The sequence below is a fragment of the Homo sapiens genome, chromosome 11 (assembly GCF_000001405.40).
Source record: "Homo sapiens chromosome 11, GRCh38.p14 Primary Assembly".
NCBI classification, from domain to species: domain Eukaryota; kingdom Metazoa; phylum Chordata; class Mammalia; order Primates; family Hominidae; genus Homo; species Homo sapiens.
Window position 1 is genome coordinate 100584151 of NC_000011.10, and position 796 is coordinate 100584946.

The following is a 796-nucleotide window of genomic DNA, read 5'->3' on the forward strand; positions in this document are numbered from 1 at the left end:
TTTTATGACTGCAACAGCCTCTTGTGTGTTGGTAATTCCTAGACCTAAATGTCTATGTTCTGAACTGGAGACCTGTATCAGGATGTTTCCATTTGGATGTTCCACGGTCTAGAATGTCCAAAATTTAACATACTCTCTTCCCTTACACTGAATTCCCCTTCTCAGTAAATGGCAACACCATGTTTCAGTTACAGAAACTTAAGAGTCACTCTCAGCCCTTCCCTGTCCTTCACCAACTATATATCATTAGTCATCAAATTGTGTCTACTTTGCTCTCAGATACATAGTTCCTTCTCTTAAGCCTCACAAAATGCCTTTACTGAATCACTAAAACCACCTCCAAGCTGATCTTATTATCTCCAGACTGCCCCTCTAAACAGCCAAACAGCCAGCCTCGTAATTTTTCTAAAGAGTAAATCTAATCATGTAACTCCCCAGCTTGGAGTCTTTAATAATACCCCATTATCTACAAGATAAAGCCCAAATTCCTTAACATGAAATACAAAACCCGCTTAAATCATCTCTCACCATTCCTTCCCCATATTCTACAATGAACTCAGTAGTTTTTTGAATGAGCCCTGCTTTCTTGTCTCCATGACCCATGGTGATACTTCTGCCAGAAATGCCCTTCCTTTCTACCCCACTCCATTTCCTCACTAGGATGACTGCCAGCTGTCTTTTCAAACTCAAATCAGCTGCCATTTCCTCTGGGAAGACTTGCCCAGTTATTCTAATCTCCATCACCTCTGCTGGGAGGATCCATTCTATTCTGTCCATGCTTATACTGCAAGGATTT